Source organism: Homo sapiens, chromosome 16 (assembly GCF_000001405.40).
Source record: "Homo sapiens chromosome 16, GRCh38.p14 Primary Assembly".
In the NCBI taxonomy this organism is placed as follows: domain Eukaryota; kingdom Metazoa; phylum Chordata; class Mammalia; order Primates; family Hominidae; genus Homo; species Homo sapiens.
In genome coordinates this window covers 3,497,923-3,525,125 of record NC_000016.10, presented here as the reverse complement: position 1 = coordinate 3,525,125, position 27,203 = coordinate 3,497,923, and the positions used below count along the sequence as shown (strand labels likewise).

Here is a 27,203-nt window from a genome sequence, read left to right as displayed (position 1 = left end):
AGAGTAATGCTAGCAATGAATTCCTCGTCAAGATGACATGTGTCCACACGGATGCGTTAGGTACTCCCAGTTAGCCCTCCTGGACAACAAAATAGCTCTGCCAAACTCAAATGCTCAGTATTGTAAGAAGCCTAGCATAACCTTAATACCAAAAGCTGTCAAGGGCATGAGAAAGGGAGACTGCAGACCAATTTCATCATGAAAATGGAGTCTAAATGACCATTCTCAGGTTAAGGATAGGGCAATTCAAAAACTGATCACAACTTGGTTCAATTTCCTTTGCTCTAAATTCCACATTTATCAACTCATGCTCGGGTCTAAAACACTCTTTTCCTAAATGGCCTTACCCACAGGGATGAGAGGAACCTGTAAGATGGTTGGTCAGGCTCAAGGCCACACATTTATTTCCCACAATCAATAAATAAACTGCCATTCCTCTTTACAAAACAATCTCCAATGAGCTATTCTGGTGATTCAATTAACCAGGACTTGAAAATCTCTTTCTTTTTTTTTTTTTTTTTTTTTTTTTGAGATGGTGTCTTGCTCTGTCGCCCAGGCTAGAGTGCAGTGGCGCAATCTCGGCTCACTGCAACCTCTGCCTCCTGGGTTCAAGCAATTCTCCTGCCTTAGCCTCCCAAGTAGCTGGGATTACAGGTGCCCGCCACCATACCAGATAAATTTTGTATTTTTAGTAGACGGGGTTTCACCATGTTGGACAAGCTGATTTCAAACTCCTGACCTCGTGGTCCACCAGCTGTGGCCTCCCAAAGTGCTGGGATTACAGGCGTGAGCCACCGCGCCCGGCCCTTTTTTTTTTTCTTTTTGAGACAGGGTCTTGCTCTGTCAACCGAGCTGGAGTGCAGTGGCATGATCATGGCTCACTCCAACTTCAAACTCCCAGGCTCAAGCAATCCTTCCATCTCAGCCTCCCAAGTAGCTGAGACAACAGGTGTGTAACACCATGTCCAGCTAATTTATTTTTACTTCTTTGTAGAGACAGGGTCTCATTATGCTGCCCAAACTGGTCTCAGACTCCTGGGCTCCAGTGATCCTCCTGCCTAAGCCTCCCAAAGTGCTGGGATTACAAGTATAAGCCATCGCACCTTGCCTTGAAAATCTTTATGTGAACTGACTAAGCAAGCTTTATTTTCTTATTTTTGGAGATGGGATCTTGCTCTGTTGTCCAGGCTGGAGTACAGTGGCACGATCTTGGCTCACTGCAACCTCTTCCTCCCATGTTCAAACGATTCTCCTGTCTCAGCCTGCCGAGTAGCTGGGACTACAGGTGTGTACGACCACACCCGGCTAATTTTTTGTATTTTTATGAGAGGAGGGGTTTCACCATGTTGGCCAGGCTGGTCTCAAACTCCTGACCTCAAGTGATCCGCTCGTCTTGGCCTCCCAAAGCCAAGCAAGCTTTTAAATCTGCACTCGAGACCAGCTACATAATTTTTGGGATCAGTGGAAAATAAAATGCACTTAAAAATTATTATGAATTTCAAGACAGTGACAACAGGGCCTGAAAGCAAGCACAGGCCCCATGTCGGCACAGGGTCTTACGCAGCCACACAGGCCTCATGTCGGCCCTGTCTGTTCTCTTAACTGACCAAACCTGATGAAATATGACATCAAAGATTTGACAACCCTGGAGTCCAGTGTACACTGCCAGCAAAACAAACACATTACATGAGCAATCCTCAGACTGACCAGGGAGAAAAAACATGTACTGATATTTTTTTCACAATGATATTAACAAAATGACCTGTCACCCAGTACAAAATAACACACCAGAAGGAATGGCTGAACAGAGGACAGGCTCAGCTCACCTCAAACCTTTCTTGCTCCATCCTATGATGGTCTTCAAGCTGTTGTTCCAGATAAGTCAGATTTTGAAATTTCTCCAGATAAGTGTCATACTGCTTTTGTAATTCTTCCTCAGTCTTCTCATACTCATCCATAAAACATGGCCTAAAAGAAGCAAATGAAATAAAAAGGAAAGGTGAATTATATGCAGTAGTTTGAAATGGGTATTCACAGTTTCAGATTCCATGGTGGCTTTCTCTGGAAACCCTTAATTAGAGAAGGTCCTTCATTCTTGTAATGCTTAAAAATATTTTCCCTTTTCTGCTTTCTCCCCCCAAAATGAACATACTTCTTTTTCATCATAAATAAGATGTGCTCTTTGTAAAAACTTGAAATAATCCTGAAAGTATGAAGAATGACGTAAAAATTACTGATAATCCCATCACCAGGTATAAGCGCTTGATAGTTGACATACATCCTTCCAGACTTTTCTATGCATAAATATAGATAGGAATGCATTTAAAAAAAAAATTAAATATACCAAGAAATTTTATAATCTTTATTTCATTTCAATATACCGTAATCTCAATAGAGTTAAAAATGATCAGGCTGGGTGCATCGGCTCACACCTGTAACCCTAGCACTTTGGGAGGCTGAAGTAGGAGGAGGATTGAGCCCTGGAGTTCAAGGCTGCAGTGAGTGAGGATCCTCTGACCTTGCCGTGGCACTCCAGCCCTCCAGCCTGGGTGACACATTGAGACCCCATCTCTAAAGGCAAAAAAATCACATACCAGACACATCTCTCCAAATCAATAAATATATATATTATTATCTTATTTGGGTATAATGTTCTACTGTTGGCCGGGTGCGGTGGCGCACGCCTGTAATCCCAGCACTTTGGGAGACTGAGGCGGGTGGATCAACTGAGGTCAGGAGTTTCAGACCAGCCTGGCCAACATGGTGAAACCTCGTCTCTACTAAAAATACAAACATTAGCCAGGCGTGGTGGCACATGCCTGTAATCCCAGCTACTCGGGTGGCTGAGGCAGGAGAACTGCTTGAACCTGGGAGGTGGAGGTTGCAGTGAGCCGAGATTGCGCCACTGCACTCCAGCCTAGGCAACACAGAGAGACTCCATCTCAAAAGAAATAATAATAATAATAATAATGTTCTACTGTCAGGATATTATAAATTTAAAGCAATCCTCTAAAAAGGGGACCACAGGTTGTTACGAATTAAGGCTGGTGGTTTTTTTTTGTTTGTTGAGACAGGGTCTCACTTTGTCACCCAGGCTACAGTGCAGTGGTGTGATCATGGCTTACTGCAGCATCGAACGCCTGGGCTCAGGTGATCCTCCTGTCTCAGGCCCCCAAGTAGCTGGGACTACAGACATGTGCCACTATGCCCAGCTATTTTTTATATTTTTTTTTTGTAGAGATGGGGTTTCGCCATATTGCCCAGGCTGGTCTTGAACCCCTGAGTTCAAGCGATCTGCCCGCCTTGGCCTCTCAAAGTGCTGGGATTATAGACGTGAATCACTGTGCCCAGTCTAAAGAGGTTTTTAAACGATAAAAAATTTTTTAAAAAGGCCAGGCGTGATGATGACTCATGCCTGTAATCCCAGCACTTTGGGAGGCCAAGGCAGGTGGATCACAAGGTCAGGAGTTCAAGACCAGCCTGGCCAACATGGTGAAACTCCGTCTCTACTAAAAATACAAAAATTAGCTGGGCGTGGTGGCGGCCGCCTGTAATCCCAGCTACTTGAGAGGCTGAGGCAGGAGAATCGCTTGAATCCGGGAGGCAGAGTTTGCAGTGAGCCGGGATCGCGCCATTGCACTCCAGCCTCGGCAACAAGAGCGAAACTCCAACTCAAAAAAAAAAAACAAAAACAAAAAAAACCATAAAAATCTATACTGGTTTGCTGAACTTTTTCTTTTTTCTTATTATTGACCTTAAAGGGAAAATTCTACTCTTTTAAAAATATAAGCAGATAAACTCAGAAATAATTATAATCTTTTGAACTAGAGCAAAACAAAGAGACTTTTCTGTTAAAATGATTTGGAGCTTAACAAAAATGAATTGATGCTTTAAAAGTGGAATGTGTCAAGGAGATCAATCTATATGGCGGCAATGACTTCTGTTTTTTTTTTTTTCCCTCTCTGAGGCTCCAGAGGTAAAGAGCCAGTTTCAGGAGGGGAAGGGCCTTGGCCTTGCGCTGGGCAGGGAGGAGCCAGGGCGCTCCCTGTGGTTGCTGTCGCTGCCTCCAGGTGCTGCCTCCCCACAGACCTCGGGACAGTGGGCAGGGTGTAGCCAGCCACCAACATCCAAAAAGGCAAAACATCCGAGCAGAGTAGGCAGCTGGGAAGAGGAGGGAGCCAAGAAGAAAGAAAAATAAAGGGTGAATGAAAAGGGAGAAAGAGCAGAAGCATGGGGGAGGGAAAGAGGCACAGAACGAGGAAGAGAAGAGAGAGAGAGCCGGCACCACTATTCTCCATCGGTATTCCTGGGAAATATATTTCCAATGAGGTAACGTAGGAAGAAAGATGAATTACTGACTGGTGAGGAATGATCAAGGTTTAAATAAAGTCTAAAATCTATGCCAACAAACAGGCAGGAGTATGTTTCTGTTTCTACCTAATTTATGGCAAGATCTTAGGAGACCACGTCTGGATTTCCCCGTCTGGATTCACTTACTCTGCCTTGAGTTCCAAGAAGCTATAAAAGCTTAAAGGGCAGTTCAAGCTTTAAGCAGTTTTCCAGACATACCGCAAGCAGTAAAGAGAATGAGTTTAGCCATCTGCTTGTTATGACAGGCAACACATGTACATTTGAGGTGAAGATACCCTTATGTAAGGCTTTTTTTCATTGCTTGAGAAGAGTTAAGATCACATTCTATTCTCTTAAGTCTTTGTTCTAACTTTTTTTTTCTTTTAGAGTCAGGGCCTTGTTCTGTTACTCGGCCTTGTTCTGTGGCTCAGGCTGGAGTGCAGTGATGCAACCATAGCTCACTGCAGCCTCAACCTCCTGGGCTCAAGCAATCCTCCCGCCTCAGCCTCCCAAGTAGCTGGGACTACAGGTGTGTATCACCATACTGAGGTAATTTTTAAAAATTTTTAGAGATGGGGTTTCATTATGCTGCCCAGGCTGGTCTCAAACTCCTGGGCTCAAGAGAACCCCCCGCCCCAGCTTCATGAGTAGCTGAGATTTCAGACATGAGCCACCACGCCCAGTTTGTTTGAACTTTCCAGGACATCTTTCTACTCATTCTCCAAGTGTTCATATCTACCTGACACTCTGCAGAGTCTCTAGTCGCTTCCGATTTCTTTCCAGTTCTAATTTTCTCTTTTCGATTTTGGCTTCTAAATTAGCTTCATCAGAGGCCACATTATTGAGCAGGTCTTTAGTCTTCTGAACCTGTGTCTATATTTAATGGGAAATAATGAGACAAGGTGGCAATAAAAACAGCCATCCTAATTCTTAGAAGAATTTTGCAACTCTTCAGGCATAGCAACATTATGCTCAACAAACACAAAAGCAAACAAATAGACACTTCCCCAAGCAATGACTCACTTAACCCACTAGTTCCAGGGAGAATGTCACACAGGTCCAGAAAAAGGTATCTCTTTTTTTTTCCCCATGAAAAGCAGGCATTTCTACCCAGGGAAAGAAGTGAAGATGCAAAGAAGAGTGTCCTGGTCAAGGTGGAGAGGCCTGCAGTCTTTTCTCTGGCTCACTCGGTTAGAACAAGGTGCACATCACTCTGGACGGTCAGTCTGCCTTTTTATCATTCGGGCCATGCCCCTAGTTACAAACACCCGACTTACAGAATACCCACACACACCAAGTACTGCTCTACTAGGAGGGGAGAGAAAGAAACAGCTGGTCCCAGCCCTAACCCACTGCCTGCTGGGATTGAGAGAAGGTCCTCTTCCCTCTCCCTGGCAACAGAAGCTTGACTACAGACTAAAAACGAGGAGAAACCACTCTGAAGACAGTACGAAAGCAGTTCCCACAGTGGCAATGGCCACACTGGTGTGCACCAGCTCTGGAAGGGGTCCAGGGCAACAGTTGGACAGAGGCCCTTGGGCAACAGAGGCTGAGTAAAGAAGGGAAGGGGGACACGGGCCCACTGACGGTGACACAAGTCTCCCTATCCTAAGAGAAGGTTCATTTGAAGCAGGTAGAGTCACTGGTAGTGCGCCGTCTTCACATGCGTCTTGTCCGGTGGCTGGCTGGATCACATGCCTGGGGTTCAGGCTCCAATCTCTTTATGAGGAATCTGGACTGCCACCCAGCTGAGCGTGGAACTGCCCCCCAGGGTTCTGGCTTTCCAGCCCTGCATTAAGTTCCTGGTGGCCAAGGTGGGGCTTCCCCTCCAGCTCTTTGCCTATGTGTAGCATCCCACGAAGGGGTTACTCTGTTTTCCTGCAAGTCTCTGAAAAGCTATGGGCTCCACAGAGAAATGGCCTACGAAGCCCAGACACTCTCCACAACTCTCAGGCATGGTGTGTTTTGGAACCAGCCACTGTTACTGACAATGCGTTTATGGTCTAATTTTTTTGGTCTAAGTACACTAGCCACTTCTAAGATACTTTCATGAAAATAATCAGACCCTTATCATCGATTTGCTGCAAGTGCCTTAGAGCCCCCAGGAGAAATGCGAGTTCACCCTCACAGGAAGAAAGGTGGGTCTCCTTTCTAAACAACTTCAGTTAATGGCAACTGTTTCCTCGAACCAAAGTCAGATTAAAACCTAGTAAATTTATCCCACCTTAAACATATCTGTTCCTCAAACAAGAAAGATCCACAATGCAAAACAGCTGTGTAAACACAAGCAATTTTCCCTGGTTTCTGAAATAAATGGCCTGTACTCCCCAAACCCTTTTAAGTACCCATGTTGTTTTGGTTGTTTTTAGAATGATCAAACATCACAGATATTTTCTAACAATGAAAGGAGTCTTAAGAGATGTCTACCAAGAAATGAACCCTGTCCTCTCTTGGGTGTTCTACTTTTAACATATTAGTGCTAAGGGCACATTCATGCCGTGTTCACCTGATTCAGTTAGAACACTGGCAAGGATAAGAGGTATAATAATTTTTTTTTAATTTTTAAATTTAGAAACAATCAAAAATTTACGGAAAACCTGTTGTACAACACAAAGCGTTTTTCCCAACCTAGGTGACAGTAAGTTGCTGACCAGACGTTCCAATACCCTGAATACTTTAGCGTGTATTTCCTACAAATAAGGACTTTCTCCTACATCCCCACAATACAATCATCAAAACAGGAAGCCAGCACTAACACACTACCACCGTCTAACTCCAGCCCCACTCCACTGTCCCCACTTGTCCCAGTGAAGTCCCCAACAGCAGATAGGAGCTGCCTATGTGTCCAGTTATCACATCTCCACAGCCTCCCTCAGTCTGAAATGCCCCCTCAGCTTTCCTTGACTTTCAGAACCTTTTCACTCTGGGAGCATACAGGCTGGTTAATCTGTAGAATGCCCCTCAATCCGGCTTTGTCTCATTAGAGTCAGATATGCATCGTTGGCAGGAATACTCAGAAGTGACTGCATCCTACCAGGCGTGCATGATTTTGATTTGTTCTGTAACGATGATGTTCACTTTGATCTCTTGATTAAGGGGGTGACTGGCAGGCTTCTCCCTGAGAAGTGACTCTTTTCCCCTCTGTAATTAATAAGTACTCTGCGGGCCAGGCACAATGCCTCATGCCTGTAATCCCAGCACTTTGAGAGGTCAAGGCGGGCGGATCACCTGAAGTCAGGAGTTTGAGACAAGCCTGGCCAAACATGGCAAAACTCCATCTCTACTAAAAAAAAAAACAAAAATTAGCTGGGCGTGGTGGCGCATGCCTGTACTTCCAGCTATTTGGGAGGTTGAGGCACGAGAATTGCTCGAACCCAGGAGGCAGAGATTGCAGTGAGCTGAGATGGCGCTACTGCACTTCAGCCTGGGTGACATAGCAAGACTTCGTCTAAAAAAATAAACAAATAAATAAATAAAATAAAACAAAAATACAATAATTAGCTGGGTGTAGTGGTGTGCGCCAGTAATCCCAGCTACTCAGGAGAATCACTTGAACCTGGGAGGCAGAGGTTGCAATGAGCCGAGGTTGTGCCACTGTACTCCAGCCTGGGCAACAGAGCAAGACTCCGTCTCAAAAAAAAAAAAAAGAAAAAAAAAGTACTTTGTGGAAAGTTACTTCGAATCTGTGTGAATGACCTGCTCCTCCTCAGCCTCCAATATTCATTTATTTTTTTATGCCAGTGAAAACTCATGGTTTCCTATTTCATTCTATTATACCATAAAATTAATTATTCTAACTTATTTATTTTGATGCTTAAGTTGTCCTTACTTTGGCCAGGAGAAGCCCACTTAAGTTGGCTTCTGCATGCTTCCAATAGTTCCCTTTCCTCCTTTGAACTCTTCCTTACTTTCTCGTACTTCTCCTGCCCAACTCTGGAATTAGCCATTTTCCCCTAAGAGTCCTGGTTCCTTTTAGTGGAGAATGGCATTAAGCCAGGTGCTACGTGTGCTCAGAGCTAAGAAATGTATGAGTGTGGGTGTCTCTACGTGTATGTATATAAATAAAACATTTATATACATATATACGTAATTCCTTAAATGTGCATACATGTATATCAAAATTTATTCCTATACCTATCTATATATTGAAAACTATGCGTTTAACCAACACCTCCAATTTCAAGTTCACCCTAATTTTCTCTCTTTCCATTTTTGTGACATTTTTGTGACTTTTTTCTCCAACAGTGAGGAACGTGGCTCCATTATCCTTGCCATATTTTTACTTATCTGACCCATCTGCCTATCTGTCACCAATCTCCCACCAGGGCTGTGGTGCCCTTCTCCCGCTGTGAGGCTCTGACTCCCTAGGCTGGGCTGCCCAGCAGGTATTACTGTTTAATGACAAAAGAATTACATATTTTTAAAAACCTATGATTTTTAGAATTTTGTACAACTCATAGCAAATTCTTGTTTTATGCCTACTCTGAATGTACACAGGGGCCCTCATCCGTGTCTACTGAGTAAAATAAATCACCAGTGATGACTGATTATCAATTGTGCATCAGAGACGAGGCTTGATATGCCCTGTCGTGATTCATGTTTATAAGGACCCCACACAGTTGGGAATGCAGTTCTTGCCATTTTACAGATGAGGAAAATGAGGCACAGAGAGGGTAAGTAACTTGCCTAATATCACACAGTGGAATTCAAACCCAAGCAATCTGAGTCTAGAGTCACCCTCATGATCTGCCTTCCAACTGACTGCTTTAGATGAGAGGATAACTGATGTGAGCGAGCAGTAAACAATAGTGATCCTTCTACTTATTACAGTGCTGTCTGGAATTTAGAAAACCCTGAAATCATTTAAATACTAAGCAGTGAGGAATTGGTTAAACAAAATAAAATAGAGCATTATTTATTAAAATTATTGAATAACTGATAATTATCAAATTACTGAAACTGATCAATTTTTAATAACATGAGAAGCTGTTTTTATTTATAACGAGGGGAAAAAAATGATAGTAAGTGACCTAGGTAAGCTCGAATGTCCTCTTGAGTTTTTCATTTCCCCACTAACACATCCCTTGTTACTAAGCCTAGCTTGTTCTGTCTTGTATGGGCAAGAAATCAGTATTTTTGAATCCCAGGCATAAAAAACATTATATAAAAGCAAAGTCATCTTACCAAAATCTCTTTTATTGCAATTCTCATCACTTTTTCAGTCTCGTTTATTTCCAGAGGTCTGGCAATGGCTTCTGTTCTCATTTCCTAGGAAACAGTAAAATCATTTACGTATATTTTCAGAAAAGGAGTTCTCAAAACCAGTATTCCTAGATCTAGATGTGCCTTATAGACTGATTCTCCGAAGTTTATTGCCATGTGGATCTCTGATGCAAAAACACTGCCACCATCACCTCCTATAATGTCTTCCATTATCTGAGTGCCTACCCAGCTCTCTCCAGAGCTCAAGGTCCTCCTTTTCAGCCAGAGGCCTAGGTGACCCCAACTCTATGAGCAAAACTGAACTTAGCATCCATTATCTTTTCTCCCAAATTTGCTGCTGCTTCTTTTTTTTTTTTTTAAATAGAGATAGGGTCTCACTATGTTGCTCAAACTCCTAGGCTCAAGTGATCCACGTTCCTTGGTCTCCCACAGTGCTAGGATCACAGGCATGAGTCACTATGCCCAGCCCCAATTTGCTTCTTTACCTGCATTCTGTCCAGGTGACTCCCAAACTAAGCATCTTTCTTAGCATGAAGTCCCTCTCAGTTGCCTATCACTAACAAACGCAACCGATAAGAACAGTGACCATGGCCCTGCCCCTAGCATGAACCATTAACCTATCAAGGGAGACATCTGTGACTATCATATCAGTGCTGAAAACTTCTGAGACATGGGATTGTAATGTGGATATAGTTATGAGGTTTACTATAGACAATGTTTGTGTGACCCCAAAATTCCTATGTTGAAACTCGAAACCACAATGTGATGATGTTAGGAGGTGATTAGCTCCTAAGAGAAACCCTGGGGAGATCCCTCACCCCTGCTGCCATGTGAGGACTCAGCAACAAGGCACCATCTGTGGGGAACAAGCCCTCGCCAGACACTGAAGCTGCTAGTGCTTTCATCTAGAACTTCCCAATCTCCAGAACTGTGAGAAACAAATCTGTTATTTATAAGTCACTCAGCTTATTGTGTTTTGGGACGGCAGCCTGAACAAAGTAAGACAAGGTTCCTGAAGCACTGTGTCAAAACTCGTCTTGTGCTTCCTTTCATCCACGGTGCACCTGGTGGGAATGGCTGAGGGCAGGGTGAGGACTTAGTCAAGGAGGCAGAGCTCAGTGCCTTGCCTGTGGCTGAGGCTGCACCTCAGTAAATGTTTACTGAATGAAAGAAAAACAAACACTGGATAGGCGCTCTTCCTCGGATCATGACTACACACAGAATTTGACAAGTACTACATTCAGGGTCTCATGGTTTCCTTGGGAACAGTTTCAGCCACTGGTTACTTCATCATTCTTTACAGGATGGTGTTGAAAGAGACCCCGTGGGATGGAAATGAAGTCTCACAATGATGCCACAGCTCTAGTGGCAATCAGCAAGTGGCCAGCTCCTGTCTCTGAGTCTCTTAGGGACATGTACAGACATATGTACACCACTGCACTACAAACAGAACAGGGGAAAGCCTGGAGGTACCTTACTCATCATCTGAATTAGCTAGCAGATGTCAGTGGCAGTTTCATTCTGCCAACCACACTTCATCAGGTGGCAACTGCCGGGTCAATATATGATGAGCAGACATAGCAATCTAGCACCTAAGTCCCTCTTCCCCAGACTTCCACTTCCAGTTTGCTCCCAGGGTATGCCAGAACACAGGCAAGGCAGTGAGAGAGAGAAGCCATGGCTGGCACTCTTGCTAGGAAGTGAATGAAAGAAATTCATTTAGTTTTAAAGCATTAGATTGAGCACATATGCTTCAAATGCCATAAATCTTTACAGGTAAGGATTAAACACTACTCCACTCTAGGCCAGACGCAGTGGCTCATGCCTGTAATCCCAGCACTTTGGGAGGCCGAGGAAGGCGAATCACTTGAGATCAGGAGTTTGAGACCAACCTGGCCAACATGATGAAACCCCATCTCTACTAAAAATACAAAAATTAGCCGGGTGTGGTGACACATATCTGTAATTGCAGCTACTCAGGAGGCTGAGGAAGGAGAATCACCTGAACCTGGGAGGCGGAGGTTTTAGTGAGCCGAGATTGAGCCACCGCACTCCAGCCTGGGCAACAGAGTGAGACTGTCTCAAAAAAAATAACAAAATTAAAAAAATAAAAAATAAACACCACTCCAGTCTTAAACAGCTACTTAAATGTAGGTGATGGCACATACTTCTTGGCTGGCATTGGCTGGAATAAGGATTGCAAATCAAATCAGTCTCCACTGCAACATCAACTTCAGCTGACTGGAAGTGATGCCAAGATTGCTGGTCCCAAACTGCTGTTAGAATCACCCGGGAGAATCTGAAAACTCCCAATGCCCAGGTCACATTCCATAACAAGGACCCCAGAGTGAAAGCCAGGCTTCAGAAGTCTTTAGAGGTCCCCAGGTGTTTGCACTGGGCAGCAAGGTCGGGGAACTGCAAGCTCAGAAGATCATTTTTGAGAAAATGCTGAAGCAGAGTACACCAGAAAAAAACATCATGATCAATAAAGTCTGCCAGTGGGCACAACAAGGACAGCTCAGTCACATGCCATGGAGCTGCCACTCCTAAACAAGAAGTTAAAGGTAGACCAGTGCCGGGCGCGGTGGCTCACACCGGTAATCCCAGCACTTTGGGAGGCCAAGGCAGGCAGATCACGAGGTCAGGAGATTGAGACCATCCTGGCTAACACGGTGAAACCCTGTCTCTACTAAAAATACAAAAAATTAGCCGGGTGTGGTGGCAGGCACCTGTAGTCCCAGCTACTTGGGAGGCTGAGGCAGGAGAATGGCGTGAACCTGGGAGGCGGAGCTTGCAGTGAGACGAGATTGCGCCACTGCACTCCAGCCTGGGCAACACAGCGAGACTCCGTCTCAAAAATAAATAAATAAAAATAAATAAATAAATAAATAAAGCTAGACCAGTGCCCACCAGAAGCAGGAAGGACAGCTAATATCCTCTATCACCTTTCCACACATTAGCTCATTCAACCAGGTGTATTTCATTAAATCAGAACTGAAAAGGGAGAAACAGAATTGAAAAAGAAAACCTTGAAGAGAAAATCTGCATGGTTAAGGAAGTACTGGAATGCTTACCCTCAACTCTACTTCCATGCCGAGCAAGTCATACAGAGATGCTCCTTTGGAGGTGATTTCAGACGCAAGCTGCCTGGCTGCCTTCAAATCTGCAATCTGGAAGGAAAATAACAAAAACAGAAACCTCAGCAACAGATGTTTTTTAATAGAGACAGGGTCTTGGCTATGTTACCCAGGCTGCTCTCTAACTCCTGGCCTCAAGTGACCCTCCGACCTCAGCCTCCCAAAGTGTTGGGATTATAGGCAGAACCACCATGTTCAGCCAGCCACAGATTTTTTTTTTTTTTTTTTTGAGACGGAGTTTCGTTCTTGTTGCCTAGGCTGGAGTGTGATAGCGCGATCTCGGCTCACCGCAATCTCCACCTCCCAGGTTCAAGTAATTTTCCTGCCTCAGCCTCCCAAGTGGCTGGGATTACAGGCATGTGCCACCACGCCCGGCTAATTTTGTATTTTTAGTAGAGACAGGATTTCTACATGTTGGTCAGGCTGCTCTTGAATTCCTGACCTCAGGTGATCCACCCACCTCGGCCTCCCAAAGTGCTGGGATCACAGGCGTGAGCCACCGTGCCCGGCCAGCCACAGATTTTTAACATGCATTCAACCACTAGCCTGTTCATGTCAGCTCCTACCTTTGGTTGGGACACGTGACCACAAACATGTGCTTCCCCAGTTACATGCTCACAGGCTGCGGGACACACGCTCAGGAAATGATCATCTAAGTACTAAAGAGACCAATTCCAGGACGCCTGGGTCTCTCCAAAAAACCTAATGTCACCTCAAACTGAAGCCACAACCAGGAGGGCATAGCTGGGAGAAAGCTGACGTGCTTCCTACTTGGACTTTGTCACAGTAGGGTGCCTGACGGCAGCAGAGCGGCCACACAAAGGGACAGCCTGAGGGACACACATCCTCTTGCAGCAGCCTGACGTCCTGTGTTTCGTCCTCCCCTGCCCTCCTTCTCTGCCTCAGACTTTCCTCCACAGGCTTGGAGAGGCGCAAATCGGGTGGCACCCACTAAGGACTTACAATGGTTCTGGGCTCCACAGATGGGCAGCTGTTGCCAGGAAGGTGATGACAACCACAATGAGGATTTAGCACTGAGCCCTGTGCACAGGCTTCTTTCTTAGGATGTGTGTGTCACCCCTTCTTCCTAGAATATGCTAACTCTTCTAAGGAGCCCAAACATAAACGTCTCCCTGCTCTGCTCACTCTCCCTCTCTCCTGGACAACCAATCCTCACCTTCTGGCTCTCATTTTCAACCCACTAGCAACAACTCTCCCTCTTCATTTGCAGCTGATGGCTTTGATAGCTTGCTTCCCTCTTCCTTAGTCCTCCAGGATCCAGCCTGCTCTGGCTCTAGCTGCTTTTCTTCCCTTCCGAGCAGCACATCCCCAAACTTCTTTGCAGGAGTCTGTCACCTTCTCTGCTTCTCAAAAGTGGAGCGAGTCAGAGTTTCATTCCTGGACCCCCCGTCTTTTCTGCTGGCTCTGCTCCTACCCTCAAGGCTTTAATACCATCTGTGTGCTGATTGCTCCCCAGCTCCCAGCTCCAGCCTGGGCTTTCCCTGGGCTCTAGTTTCACATACCAGCTACCTGTGCACCATCTCCACCTGGACAGCCAATCGGCGTGGCAAATGGAGCATGTGCAGAACCTTCTCTGCTTCAGTACATGGCAACTTCATCCTTCCAGGGGCTCACACAAAAAACTTCAGAGCAGTGATGTCTAATATAGTAACCAATAGCCACATGTGGCCATTTTCACTTAAATTACTTAAGAATTAAAGAAAATGCAGAACTCAACTCAGTTCCTCAGTTGTGCTTGCCACATGTGGCCAGTGGTTCCCGTAGAGTACAGCACAGAGGCGGAACACACCCATGAGCTCTGCAAGCTCTGCCGCACGGCTGCCCCAAGACCCGGCCTGTAGCACCTGACTTACTCTCAACCCATGCCTCATCCCGTGAGATCTACCATCAAAATATGCCCCAATCTCTAGACACTTCTCTTGCTGACGAGTGTCGCTCCTGGTTAAAAACCCACATGTGAGGACAGGCGCGGTGGCTCACGCCTATAATCCCAGCACTACGGGAGGCCGAGGCAGGCAGATCACCTGAGGTCAGGAGTTTGAGACTAGCTGGCCAACATGGTGAAACCCCATCTCTGCTAAAAAAAAAAAAAAAAATACAAAGCCGGGTGCGGTGGCTCACGCCTGTAATCCTAGCACTTTGGGAGGCTGAGGCGGGCAGATCACCTGAGGTCAGGAGTTCGAGACTAGCCTGACCAACATGGAGAAACCCTGACTCTACTACAAGTAAAAAATTAGCTGGGTGTGGTGGCGCATGCCTGTAATCTCAGCTACTCAGGAGGCTGAGGCAGAAGAATCACTTGAACCTGGGAGGCAGAGGTTGCAGTGAGCTGAGATTGTGCCATTGCACTCCAGCCTGGGCAACAAGAGTGAAACTCCATCTCAAAAAAAAAAAAAAAAAATTAGCTGGGCATGGTGGTGTGTACCTGTAATCCCAGCTACTTAGGAGGCTGAGGCAGAAGAATCTCTTGAACCTGGGAGGCAGAGGCGCAGCGAGCCAAGATCGTGCCATTGCACTCCAGCCTGGGCCACAGACTGAAACTCCGTCTCAAAACAAAACAAAAACAAAACAAAAAAGCTGTGTGTGGCTTTTCAAGCCCAACTATAGACCATGACAAGGCCTCACCTAGCAGGCCTCACAGGGGAAGCTTTCTTCCCTGCAGCAGACTTGGAGCTCAGCCAGTGCACTGTGGTTTCACGTACCCTGCGTGGCCACACTCTTAGGTGCACTCCCAGCCCCGGGGCCTTCATTCCTAGGTCTCCTGCTCTGAGGCCTTGGGCCTCAGAGTAACGGCTTAACCTTTATTTCTGGCTTGCTGCTGTGGTCGCTCCCTGACACCTGACGGCACCTGTCCCACCAGCACTCTGCTCAAAGCCACGGTCACCCCTCACTCTCCAAACAGGCTCGCTGCTTCCAGCCCTGCCGCCTGCTTCGGTCTGATGGCGGCTCAGCAGCCAGAGCAACCCTTTGGACGGGAAATAAGCACAGAAGGTTCCGCTTGGATCCCAACGATTCCCACCTTAGAGGCAAAGACAAAGGCTTTCCAGGGGCTTCCCAGGCGCCAGAGGGTCTGTCAATCCCAACCCTCATCACACGGCCTCCTTGCTTTTCCTCAAACACACAAAACACATTTTTTTTCTTCCCCCCAGACAAGGTCTCGTTCTGTTGCCTAGGCGGGAGCGCAGTGCCATGAACATGGCTTGACTGCCTGGGCTCAAGAGATCTTCCCACCTCAGCCTCCTGGGCAGCTGGGACCACAGGTGTGTACCACCACGCCTAGCTAATTTTTTTCTTTTTTTTGGTAAAAATGGCGTCTCACTATGTTGCCCAGGTTGGTCTGGAACTCTTGGCATCAAAGGATCCTCCCACCTCGGCCTCCCAAAGTGTTTGGCTTACAGGAGTGAGTCACTGCACCCAGCCCAAAACAAATTATCATCCTGAGACACCCTGACGCCACCCGCCACCCGCACAACTCACTCTTTCCCTCCCTTGGATCTCTGCTGGAAACACCATCCAATCCATGAGGCCTTCCTGATCACCCGATTTAAGATCACTCTGGGCAGCATCCATCCCCATCCCAGCTTATTATTCTCCACAGCCTGCACTGCATCTGGCCTTCCACACCTCTTATTGTTCACAGTCTGACTCCCCTAACTGAAGAGAATAAACACACGATTTTTGTCCTTTTTGTTCACAACTGTATCCTCAGCGCTTGAATGCTACCTGACAAATACTAAGCTTTTAATAAATAGTTGAATTAGTGGATTGTGACTTTGACTTTATCCAAATGCTGATGAGCACAAAACTGACAAACTGCCCTCAGCTGAGGAGGAAGAAAAGCAGCGGAGCTGTAGCAGACTCCTTCCACTTCAGAGCTCAAGAAATCAACGCTCCATCGCCCACTACAAGGCTTTTGTTGTCCTTACCTTTGAGCCAAGATCAAACTTGAACTTGTTGACATCTTCCTCTACTATTTCAGAGCCCTCCATCCCCTTGGTCTTCATAGCATTATAAAGGACAGATGTGATCTTCAGCAGCTCTTTTACCGCATACCCATCTGCTTGATAAAGCTTCTTAGTGTTGAGTTTTATATGTGCCTTGGTGGCCTATTTTTAGACCAAAAAAAAAAAAAGTTGAAGGCCCTTTCCATGTAATGTCTAAACTAAATCCCATGTAGGTGAGTTGAAAATGCCTCTGCTGACAACTGGGATATAACCTAATAAAAGCAAAGCATTCAAGTGACTCAAACATTGTGAGTGGTTGTATAAACTGGGACAATCTTGATGGAGAGCAATTTGGTAAAAGACATCAAAATTACAAATGCACATATCTTTTGACCCAGCAATCCCAAATCTAAGAACTTATTCTAGGGACACACTCAAACACAAACAAAATGAGATGTACAGGTTATTTGTTACAGCACTGTTCCAAAGAGCAAAGCTTCAGACAACCTAAAAGCCTACCTATATAAATTACATAAATTATGGCAAATCCATGCAAGCAATACCACTCAGGCGTAAACAGAATGAGGAAATTCTATATGTATTTGGAAAGTTCTCTAAAATATACCATTAAGTAAAGCAAGATGCTAAACATCTTGTAGTGTACAGTAAGTACATCAAGTAGAATACAGTACCATTTGTGTAAAACAAAGGAAAAATATATATTTTTATTTGCACACACACACACACACACACACACACACACACACACAAACTCTGGAAGAGATTTAAAATAGTGGTTATTTGGAATGGAACTTGGCCCAGGGCAGATAGGGTAAAAAGTCATTTTACTCCATTTTGTTTCATAATGTTTTTAATTTTTTTTTTTTTTTTGAGATAGGGTCTCACTCTGTCACCTGGGCTGGAGTGCAATGACATGATCCCGGCTCACTGCAGCCTCAACCTCCCGGGCTCAAGCAATCCTCCCACCTCAGCCTCCCAAGCACCTGAGACTACAGGCACGTGTCACCAGGCCCATCTAATTTTTTTTAAATTTATTTTTTGTAGAGACAGGATCTCACTACATCACCCAGGCTGTTCTCAAACTCCTGGACTCAAGCTATCCTCCCACCTTGGCCTGCCAAAGTGCTAGGATTACAGGCATGAACAACCACGCCCAGCCTACTTTCAATTTGTGAGCCATGAAATATGTTATCTATTCAAAAATAAATAAATAAAATTCTTTTTTTTTTTTTTTAAGACAGAGTCTTGCTCTGTTGCCCAGGCTGGAGTGCAGTGGCGTGATCTCGGCTCACTGCAAGCTCTGCCTCCCAGGTTCACACCATTCTCCTGCCTCAGCCTCCCGAGTAGCTGGGACTACAGGTGCCCGCCACCACATCCAACTAATTTTTTGTATTTTTACTGGAGACGGGGTTTCACCCTGCTAGCCAGGATAGTCTCAATCTCCTGACCTCGTGATCCGCCCACCTCGGCCTTCCAAAGTGCTGGGATTACAGGCGTGAGCCACCACACCTGGCATAAACAAAATTCTTAACAAATAATGAATTAAAAGACAAACAAAAAGAACTTCGCTGGTGAAATGGTGCCACAGAAACCCAGCAATGGAATGGTTTTAGAAAGCAAACTCAGGCCAGGCGCGTGGTGGCTCACATCTGTAATTCCAGCACTTTGGGAGGCCAAGGAGGGTGGATTACTTGAGGTCGGGAGTTTGAGACCAGCCTAGCCAACATGGTGAAACCCAGTCTCTACTAAAAATGCAAAAATTAGCCAGGTGTGGTGGCGTGTGCCTCTAATCCTAGCTACTCGGGAGGCTGAGACAGGAGAACCCCCGAGGAGACGGAGGTTGCAGTGAGCCAAGATTGTGCCACTGCACTCCGGCCTGGGCGAGAGAATGAGACTCCATCTCAAAAAAAAAGAAAGAAAAACTCAATTACACAGTTTGAAAGTCGCCCTAACAAGGAGTCATCCTTTCTAGTTTATTTAATTTTACAACTCCACAAAATAAGTGTCCACTAACCATGAACTGGGCAATTGCCTTAATGAAGAAAACTCGGTCCTGTTCAGTATCCACGTCAGGCGGGATGTCAGTCTGGGGCTCATATCTATCAAGAGAGGTAAGAGGAGAGAGCACGGGTTAACCAAGGAGAAAGTCTACTAAAGAGAATGTGGGCAACTGAGAGGACAGCGGGTCTGGAACACAACGCTCTCCAAGTCCCCAAGTGGGAGAGTGAGATCAAGGCAAACTTCAAAAGCAAAACCAAATACCAAGGGAGCAAATCCCCACCTAAGAAAAACAGATTTCAAAAACTAAATGTGGATCTCAGCTTATAAAATTAAATCTCTCTCAGATCTCACCATGTCATGAAGCTAATCAGAACTGCTACCCTGGCTGACAGCCCTTGACTCAGAGATCAGTGCTAGGGCCGATTAGTCAGCTCTAAGCAGCAGCAGAGTTGGTGAAGTTATTTTCTTCAAGGTATTGAAACCAGGGGTCAGCAGACTGCAGCCTCCGACCTGTACAGCCTGCAAGCTAAGAACTGTTTTTACATTTTAACAAAAAGAAGAGACGCAATAGAGATCTTATGAATTTTATATTTAGCAAAAGGTAAAATATTATCTGGTCCTTAACAGAAAAAGCTGCCAACCCTGAATCATATAACATATTCAATTTTTTCACAGAAAAAGAAATCTCCATTATTTCTAATCCAGTGTACTGATCAGAATGTGCAAAAAGGCCCCTGTCACTCTGCCATGAGGGGCTGAAGAGCAGCCTGGCCCAGCATCCTACTGAGGAATAGTCGTCTCCTTTCACGACTTCCTGGTATATTTCCCACTCCCACAGCATTCTTTAAACTCCACTGATTTTTTTTTTTTTTTTTTTTTTTTGAGACGGAGTCTCGCTCTTTCACCCAGGCTGAACTGCAGTGGCGCTATCTCGGCTCACTGCACACTTCGGCTCACTGCATGCTCCGCCTCCCGGGTTCACTCCATTCTCCTGCCTCAGCCTCCTGAGTAGCTGGGACCACAGGCGCCCGCCACCACGCCTGGCTAATTTTTTGTGTTTTTAATAGAGATGGGGTTTCACCGTGTTAGCCAGGATGGTCTTGATCTCCTGACCTCGTGATCCACCCGCCTCGGCCTCCCAAAGTGCTGGGATTACAGGCGTGAGCCACTGCGCCCGGCCTGATTTTGTTTTTTGAGACACAGTCTCAATCTGCCCGGGCTGGTGTGCAATAGCATGATCAGTGGCACTGCAGCCTCAAACTCCTGGGATCAAGTGATCCTCCTGCCTCAGCCTCCTGAGTCGCTGGAACTATGAGTGTGTACCACCCAGGCTCAGCTAATTGTTCTTTTGTGTATGGAGACAGGGTCTTGCTATGTTGATGAGGCTAGTCTTGAATGACTGAGATTATGAAGTGCTGGGATGAGAGCAGTGAGCCACTGTGCCCAGCCACAACTCCTTTGTAACAGAATACAGCTGGGTCTGTCAAATTCCAAAAACTTTCCCTTTTGCAGCATCACAGCTGTGTCCTGTTTTCTAGATGACTAATAAATAAAACCCAGTATTCACTCTTAGATGTCAATAAAGTGCCGTTCGAACCTTTTCACAAGCCAGAGAAGCACTTCAGATACAAGTCCAAAATTGGGTGTACGGAAATTTTCCATAGAAATATGTCGAGGGTATCCCAGGGCTCTCATCATCTCTGTGAAATCTGTCCAAGGAAAAATACAATTCATTCAGTTCCCCATCACACAGCAACTACTTATTAACTTAGATATTGTCTTTACTTTTCCTTCTTATTTCCAACCTATTGACAGCTTTAGGGACTATTTGTCAACTTTCTACAAGGGAAAGCAAAAAGGAGATAAAATTTAAAATACCAAAAATGCTACCTAAAAAGCATATATTTAAGTTCAATGGGAGAAGTAGATGGCTATACATGAAAATGGAATTGAGGGATTAGCTGTGAATTTCATTTCTCTCTTTAGTATCTCATTTCTTTTTACTGCTAAAAGGAAGAAACACCCGTCCTTATAAAATGTCATGAAGAAAAAGTATTTTTAAATGTCAACAGTGGTTTGACTCAAATTCAGCTGATTAAAAAGTGTTTTAAAATGTTAACAGTGGTTATTTCTGAGGGGAATCCGTAGGATGACATTCATGTTTCTGAGTTGTCTTTTTTTTTAATTTTAGTGACCACATAGGACCCAAATAACACAAGTTTTAAAGATCAGTCGCCTTGTATTTAGAGAAATCTTAAATAGAGTGGTTGAACTATACAACCATATTTAGATTTACTATAAAACAGATTAAGAAACAGTAATACTAATACTTGTTGATCCATAGGTTGGGGTCACCTCAGGAAAAGCCTTAGTGCTTTCAAGAGAGCAGGACTTGGAAATGAACACCACAAACATTTGTTGAGTTCCCATATGTACCAAGATCTACATTCAGTGTGCTTCCTGGTTATTTAAGGTCTGTCTGCACTCTTCTTGAAGATCCATGTTCAAAATGGTCCATCAATGTTCACAAATAACCTACCTAGGTACTGCAAGTCAGGTCAGACTTCGCAAGACAATGAAACAGAAAGTGTGAGCACAGGAAACAGCAAAGTCACAAAGGGACTCTGTAACTGTTTTCTGGGAAATGTGAATACAGAGATTAAAAAAAAAATTAACTGGGTGTGGTGGTGCATGCCTGTGGTCTCAGCTATTCAGCAGGCTGAGGTGGGACGATCACCTGGGCCCAGGAGGTTGCAGTAAGCTCAGATCATGTGACTGCACTCCAGCCTGGGTGACAGAGTGAGACCCTGTCTCAAAAACAAAAACAAAAAAGGCCAGGCGCGGGTGGTTCACGCCTGTAATCTCAGCACTTTGGGAGCCGAGGAGGGTAGATCACCTGAGGTCAGGAGTTCAAGACCAGCCTGACCAAAATGGTGAAACCCCACCTCTACTAAAAATACAAAAGTTGCCGGGCACAGTGGCTCACGCCTGTAATCCCAGCACTCTGGGAGGCCGAGGCGAGTGGATCACAAGGTCAGGAGATTGAGACCATCCTGGCTAACACGGTGAAACCCCGTCTCTACTAAAAATACAAAAAAATTAGCCAGGTGTGGTGGCGGGCACCTGTAGTCCCAGCTACTAGGAGGCTGAGGCAGGAGAATGGCGTGAACCCAGGAGGCGGAGCTTGCAGTGAGCCGAGATCGCGTCACTGCACTCCAGCCTGGGTGACAGAGCGAGACTCCATCTCAAAAAAAGAAAAGAATAAAATAAAAATAAAAATACAAAAGTTAGGTGAGTGTGGTGGCGGGCGCCTATAATTCCAGTTACTGGGGAGGCTGGGGCAGGAGAATTGCTGGGAGGCAGAGGTTGCAGTGAGCTAAGATCACACCACTGCACTCCAGCCTGGGAGACAGAGCAAGACTGTCTCAAAAAAAGAACAGAAAAGAAAGCAGCAGCCTTTCCTTCACACAGTAAGGCACTGCCTAAATACTCCTGACCACTAGGTACTAGTCAAGTTCTGTTAATGCTGCGGTGTTATTGTCAAAATAGACACTAATTTGAGTAAGATCCTTACCATACACTGCACAACTGCAGAGCATTAATTTAAGATCAAAATATTCCGAAATCTCCGTGTGTGCGCTCCCCAACAAAACCCCATTCTACGTCCCCCGGCAGGGTGCTGGCCTCTCTAAAAACTATGTGGGAGGAGACAGTCATCCTGCATGATGTGTGGCCACCAAAAACCTTCAAACCCCAGAGGGCAGGATTCACACTCTGGTGCTCAGTGGCTGCATGGATAAAAGGTAATGCGTCTTCCTAGATATTTTTACATTGTAGAAAAGAGCAATTCATAACCAAAAGGAGTAATCTCTAATGCTAAAATTTCAGGCACCAACAATTGGACGAGAAAACTGGCTTTAAGAGACCCCTCGGATCACACCAAATTGGCAATCATCATCTACCTTTCCTTTTTTTTTTTTTTTTTTAAAGACAGTCTCACTCTGTCGGCCAGGGTGGAGCGCAGTGGTGCCATCTTGGCTCACTGCAACCTCTGCCTCCCGGAATCAAGCAATTCTCCTGCCTCAGCTTCCCAAGTACCTGGGACTACAGACGCGCGCCACCATGCCCGGCTAATTTTTTGAATTTTTAGCAGCGGCAGGGTTTCGCCATGTTAGCTAGGCTAGTCTAGAACTCCTGAAATTAAGTGATCCGCCTGCCTCGGTCTTCCAAAGGGCTGGGATTACAGGCGTGACCCACTGCGCCCAGCCGTAACCAACACTCTTAGCCTCGTTCTTCCACTTCCCCACCCTCTTAGCAAAGGAATTCGAGCTCCCTTCTCCTTACCAGCCCTGCAGAAAGGATGCAGATGGAGTTCAGGATGTCTGGAGTTCAGGCAACCTGAATTCAAGCCCCAGTGCCACCTCCTACCGCCTGTATCACCTGCCCAAGTTACCTGACCTCTCTGTGCCCGTTTCCTCACTACCAAATACAGGGGGCACAGAGTTGTTCAGATGATTAAAATGAAATGCGCATAACACAGAGCGGGCCCTGGCAGATCGTTAAAACTCAAAAAATGTTAGCCGCAATGATTATCACCCAGCCTCCTCTCCTCGGTTTCGTTGCTGGTTGTTTTTTTTTTGGTTTGTTTTTTGTTTTTTGAGATGTTGTTTCGCTCTTGTTGCCTAGGCTGGAGTGCAATGGCCCGATCTCGGCTCACCGCAACCTCCAAAGCGATTCTCCTGCTTCAGACTCCCGAGTAGCTGGGATTACAGGCGCCCGCCACCACCCCCGGCTAATTTTGTAATTTTAGTAGAGACGGGGTTTCTCCATGTTGGTCAGGCTGGTCTCGAACTCCCGACCTCAGGTGATTCGCCCGCCTCGGCCTCCCAAAGTGTTGGGCTTACGGGCGTGAGCCACCGCGCCCGGCCTGCTGTTCGGTTTTCTAAGCGCTAAGCTAACCCAACTCAAAAAATAGTCTCTAAACTCTCCATGCATTTTCCAATACGGTAGCGAAGAGCGGCATGCAGCTACACAAACAGAAATAAATTACACTTAAAAATTCAGTTATTCATCTGCACTAGCCACATTTCAAGCGTTCTGAGCCACACGCGGCCAGTGGCAGATAGAGAACTTTCCATCCTCGCTAGAAATGGCCGAAGAAGGGCCTGGGACGCTCGGCCGGGTTGCAGCCGCGGGTCAGGCGGTCCCTGAGGCGCAGAGGCCCGAAAGGAGCCTCCGGCAGCGCAAGCCTCAGGGATCGCCTACACAGGGGACCCGGCGGGCGGGAGCCCTGAATCTCTGGAAGACCCGCAGGTCACAGGGGCGCGGGGCTGCCTTACTGCGGAGGTCGCGGAAAGACATAACGCTCAGGTCCCCAGGAGCCCAGGGTCGCAACTGCTCGCCCCTCAGCGATCACAGGCCCAGCGCTCGACGATCTCTATGGCAACCAATGGACCCTTGGACGGCGCACGGTCAGGGACAAACAAAAAGCGAAGCGAAGACGCGGCGGCACGTGCATACGCACGGGGAGAGCGGGCCGGCAGAGAGCGCTCCTGAGACGCCGAGGGCAGAGGGCGTGGCGATACCGGCGTCTATGAGGGCTGCAAGCTTCCCAGCTTCTGGGCGTCTGTTTACACGCTTTGCGGACGTTTCGCGCTGGGTGACAGGTTCTGAGTACCTACTACGTGCTTGATATTGCGCTAGGCGCTTTCCATATTGCTTATTTCCCCCTCATTTCTATAAAGAATGCACGATGCTTGGCTGGGCGCGGGGGCTCACGCCTACAATCCCAGCACTTTGGGATGCCGAGGCGGGCGGATCACTTGAGGTCAGGAGTTCGAGACCAGCCTGGCCAACATGGCGAAACCCCGTCTCTACCAAAAAATACAAAAATTTGCCAAGCGTGGTGGCGCACACCTGTAATCCCAGCTACTCGGGAGGCTGAGGCAGAAGAATTACTTGAACCCGGCAGGCAGAGGTTGCAGTGAGCCGAGATCGCGCCACTGCCCTTCGGCCTGGCGACAGAGCGAGACTCTGTCTCAAAAAAAAAAAAAAAAAAAAAATGCACTATACTCAGGAAGCCCGCCTTCCCCCGTCCGAGGCACAGCGCGCTCCTCGTCGGAATCTGGTTGCCGAGCGGAGGACGGGATCACTGTGGGCGCCCAGAGGCAGGCCAGGCCTCGGTCTCGCGCACGCGCAGACGGCTCGGGCTGCACAACAGGCCGGAAAGGGGCCCTGAGCCGCTCGCGCCGCGCGGGTCCCGGCAGCCCTAGCCTCTGCATGGGGGCGCGAGGAGACGGCAGGAAGGGGCGGCCTCCACGTGTGAAATGGGGAGATGCCCCGCCAGGCGTGGCACAGCAGCCGGGTTTTGTAAGGTAGCTTGAGCAGGAACAAGGAAACAGCGTAGTGCACAAAGCGATTGGTTGGCATCAGGTTATTTCAGATGCATTTCTTTGGGTTAAAGCAGAGGGGGCTTCCTTATGCCAGCCTAGGTGGACAGGGCCCCTTTTGTTGGTTGCAGTGAATCTTCTGTGTTTTGGCAGACTGGCCTGTCTCTAAGTTCGCATTGATTACGTGGCACCTTGCACTAGCGATTCCATTCTGGTTTGGTCTGGTCCGTTGGTACCTTGTGCAGGAGCTCGCTCCAAAACAATGGCCTCCCATAAATGTTGCTTCACGTGTTATTAAGAAAAACAAAAGATAAGCCACAGTCTAGAAGAAAATATGCACAAAACACATATCTGATAAAGAGACGTGTATCCAGAATGTATCAAGAACTCTCAACACTCAATAATGAGAAACAGTCTAATTAGAGAATGGAGAAAACATTTTAAAAGCTACTTCACAAAAGAAGATATATGGATGGCTAATATGCAAATGAAGAGATGATCAAGGCTATTATTAGAGAAGTGCATATTAAAACCACAATGAGATATCACTATGAAGTTATTAAACTGGCTAAAATATCAGGTAACACGTTAAAAACCTAAAAATTAAATCTAGATAAAATGGCTAAAACAACAAAAAACTCTTGACAATGCCAAGGGCTTGAAAGGATGTTGATCAACTTGAACTTTTTTTTTTGAGATGGACTCTTGCTCTTGTTGCCCAGGCTGGAGTGCAGTGGCACAATCTCGGCTCACTGAAACCTCCGCCTCCAGGGTTCAAGCGATTTTCCTGCCTCAGCCTCCGGAGGAGCTGGGATTACAGACGCGCGCCACCGCGCCCAGCTAATTTTTGTATTTTGGGTAGAGACGGAGTTTCGCCATGTTGGCGTGAGTCACCGCACGCGGCCTGCATTTCCCTGATGATTAAAGATGTTGAACATCTTTTTACGTGTTTGATGACCATTTGTATATTTCCATTGGAAAAATGTCTATTCATTTTCTTTGCCCATTTCAAAATTGGGTTGAACATCCTTTTGTTTTTGAATTGTAAGTGTTCTTTATATATTCTGCCTATGAGACCCTTATCAGATATATGATTTGCCAATATTTTCTTCCATTTCATAGGTTGTCTTTTCACTTTTTTTTGTTGTTGTTGTTTGTTTGTTTGTTTGTTTGTTTTTTGAGATGGAGTCTCGCTCTGTTACCCAGTCTGGAGTGCCAGTGGTGCGATCTCGGCTCACTGCAAGCTCTGCCTCCTGGGTTTACGCCATTCTCCTGCCTCGGCCTCCCAAGTAGCTGGGACTACAGGCGCCCACCACCACACCCGGCTAATTTTTTTGTATTTTTAGTAGAGACGGGCTTTCACCGTGTTTGCCAGGATGGTCTGGATCTCCCGACCTCATGATCCGCCCGCCTATGTTGGCCAGGCTGGTCACAAACTCTTGACCTCAGGTGATCTGACCACCTGAGTGTCCCAAAGTGCTGGGATTACAGGTGTGAGCCACCATGCCCAGCCGTGTTTCTGATTTCTGAAGATTTGCTTTTCCAAGATTGTTGTGGTTATTTGGGCTCCCTTGTAATTTCACATGAATTTTAGGATTAGCTTTTCCATTTCTGCTTGTGATGCTTAATTTTGTGTGTCAACTTGACTGGGATGCCTGATAGCTGGTAAAACATTATTTTTCAGTGTGCTTGTGTAAGCGTTTCCAGAAGAGATTAGCATTTGAATTGCTAGACTGAGTAAAAAAAAAGAAGATTGCCCTCACCAGTGTGGTGGGCATCATCCAATCTGCTGGGTGCCCAATTATGACAAAAATGCAGAGGAGGGGTGAATTCACACTCTCTTCATGGGCTGGGACATCCTTCTTCCCGTGCCCTTGGACATTGGAGCTCCTGGTTCTTGGACTTCTGGACACCAGGACTTACACCAGCCCTCACCCCCACCCCTACCCAGATTCTCATGCTTTTGAACCCAGACTTAATTACAGCACCAGTTTTCCTGGTTCTCCAGCTTGCAGGCAGCATATTGTGCGACTTCTCAGCCCGGATAATCACATAAGCCAATATCCCTAATAAATCTTCTCTTGGCTGGGCACGGCGGCTCACACCTATCACCCCAG

General features: G+C 46.3%; 1 protein-coding gene across 8 annotated transcripts in view, besides 5 other annotated features; it reads right to left on the bottom strand.

Moving 5' to 3' along the window:
* CLUAP1 (clusterin associated protein 1) overlaps positions 1-27,203 on the bottom strand; it is a 43,622-nt gene that overhangs the window by 13,923 nt on the left and 2,496 nt on the right. For 3 of the 8 annotated variants that reach the window (XM_047433797.1, XM_047433800.1, XM_047433798.1), the window contains exons 2-8: positions 20,295-20,406; positions 18,711-18,795; positions 16,658-16,837; positions 12,648-12,743; positions 9,535-9,618; positions 5,090-5,223; positions 1,827-1,968 (exon numbers count right to left, since the gene is read on the bottom strand). In XM_047433797.1, the coding sequence (XP_047289753.1) occupies positions 1,827-1,968; positions 5,090-5,223; positions 9,535-9,618; positions 12,648-12,743; positions 16,658-16,837; positions 18,711-18,795; positions 20,295-20,406 (833 nt within the window). Of the gene's footprint in view, positions 1-1,826; positions 1,969-5,089; positions 5,224-9,534; positions 9,619-12,647; positions 12,744-15,156; positions 15,233-16,657; positions 16,838-18,710; positions 18,796-20,294; positions 20,407-23,041; positions 24,123-27,203 lie in introns of those variants that run through there. The other 5 variants (NM_001330454.2, NM_015041.3, XM_047433799.1 and 2 more) reach the window with 4 other exon arrangements.
* Positions 15,152-15,211: an enhancer, noted in NCBI's record as "active region_10325". NCBI's record gives its function as "activates an Ori minimal core promoter by ATAC-STARR-seq in GM12878 lymphoblastoid cells {active_cell/tissue: GM12878}" and the evidence as "EXISTENCE:reporter gene assay evidence [ECO:0000049][PMID:35858748]".
* Positions 22,346-22,862: an enhancer, noted in NCBI's record as "H3K4me1 hESC enhancer chr16:3552264-3552780 (GRCh37/hg19 assembly coordinates)". NCBI's record gives its function as "activates a minimal SCP1, AML or CMV promoter by ChIP-STARR-seq in primed H9 embryonic stem cells {active_cell/tissue: H9 hESC(primed)}" and the evidence as "EXISTENCE:reporter gene assay evidence [ECO:0000049][PMID:30033119]".
* Positions 22,863-23,380: an enhancer, noted in NCBI's record as "H3K4me1 hESC enhancer chr16:3551746-3552263 (GRCh37/hg19 assembly coordinates)". NCBI's record gives its function as "activates a minimal SCP1, AML or CMV promoter by ChIP-STARR-seq in primed H9 embryonic stem cells {active_cell/tissue: H9 hESC(primed)}" and the evidence as "EXISTENCE:reporter gene assay evidence [ECO:0000049][PMID:30033119]".
* Positions 23,888-24,267: an enhancer, noted in NCBI's record as "active region_10324". NCBI's record gives its function as "activates an Ori minimal core promoter by ATAC-STARR-seq in GM12878 lymphoblastoid cells {active_cell/tissue: GM12878}" and the evidence as "EXISTENCE:reporter gene assay evidence [ECO:0000049][PMID:35858748]".
* Positions 24,388-24,437: an enhancer, noted in NCBI's record as "active region_10323". NCBI's record gives its function as "activates an Ori minimal core promoter by ATAC-STARR-seq in GM12878 lymphoblastoid cells {active_cell/tissue: GM12878}" and the evidence as "EXISTENCE:reporter gene assay evidence [ECO:0000049][PMID:35858748]".